The 1292-nt window shown below is 45.8% G+C and overlaps 1 annotated feature.

Annotated features, from left to right (window-relative positions):
- Positions 915-1004: an enhancer, noted in NCBI's record as "active region_5765". NCBI's record gives its function as "activates an Ori minimal core promoter by ATAC-STARR-seq in GM12878 lymphoblastoid cells {active_cell/tissue: GM12878}" and the evidence as "EXISTENCE:reporter gene assay evidence [ECO:0000049][PMID:35858748]".

Below are 1292 nucleotides of genomic sequence, written 5' to 3'. Positions count from 1 at the left end.
CATTTTTTTAAACTTTAATTCCCTTCTCTTTTGTCCTCTGCACCCCATCCCATCCCCACTAGCCTAAATTACAACCTGAGACTGCAGGATGTTGAATGAATTGTCCTCGTGGCTATGGAATATGAAATAGAGAGAATCACAGTGAAGCAAGTACTGGAACCTTTAAAGAACAAGGGGAAATGATCAGTAGGTCAATGGGTGAAGAGAAGAGAGAGGGACGGGGGTGGACATGGTCTAATGGCCTGATTCCAGAGGCTTGGAGATTTTAAGTAAAAACGAAGTGGTTTGCAAGCAGCAATGGAGGACCACGAGTACAGTTTCAAACCTACAGGTGTTTGTAGGGGAAGTGAGAGAGAAAAACAGCATCCATGTGAGAGAGGAACTGGAGAAGTAATATCTTCAAGGGCAGTTAGGAGAACAGCATCAAAACAGCACTTAGGGCAGGAATTCAGGATGCACTGAAGATTGGACCAGAATCCAGAAGGGTGGAAGACTGGACCAGAGTCGTGGCTGTGTGACTGGAATGTGATATGGGATATGTTCACTCCGCAATGGCATCTGGCTATCCGGTCTGGGTGACACAGGCTTATCTGGGAGGCATGGATTTCTGTTACAATGAGATGAGTAAGAATGTGACACAATTTGGTTGGCCACAGTTGGTTGGTTGTTTCAGTGGTGGCTGCACGACCGAAGACACACCTGCTGAACGTTAGAAATGTTCAGACTGAAACTTGGAACAGAGATTCAGGATGTTCTAGTGTCAAAATGTGTGAGGTATGAGGCTCATGAACTGTTTCCAGCTGTGTCTCCTGCCATGTGGAGGAGCCTATCCTGCAGCAGGAAAGAATCCCACAGGCAGAGAAAAGTAGATTTGGAAAGGGGAGTGGGCATGCCCTGCGGATGTCAGGGTCCTGGTTCTAGGTTCCCACTGAGCTGTGTCCCTGCTCTTGTAGTTACATAGCACTTGCAATGCGTTCCTCTTCCTACCGAAACAATTTCAATGTGGCTAACTCTCAGTTACCACCAAAGAAGTCTTAATGCATGAATCTAATTTAAAAAGAAAGAAAACATCAGCAAAATTTGCTGCTGTATCATTACCAAGAAATCGCTTGTGACTCATCTCGAAACTGAATGTGACACTGCTAATTAGGACAGACAGTTGAGAGCAACTTGCCTCACAAAAGTGGGGACTCCAGCCACGACCCCAGAGAGCCGAAAGGTTATGCCTTTTCTCTTTTTACCTTCTTCAAGCCATGCTGGGTTCCCAACAATCCTGTTGTCTGAGTCCCTTT

The sequence above is a fragment of the Homo sapiens genome, chromosome 11 (assembly GCF_000001405.40).
Source record: "Homo sapiens chromosome 11, GRCh38.p14 Primary Assembly".
NCBI lineage: Eukaryota > Metazoa > Chordata > Mammalia > Primates > Hominidae > Homo > Homo sapiens.
This window is presented reverse-complemented; position numbering and strand designations above follow the sequence as displayed.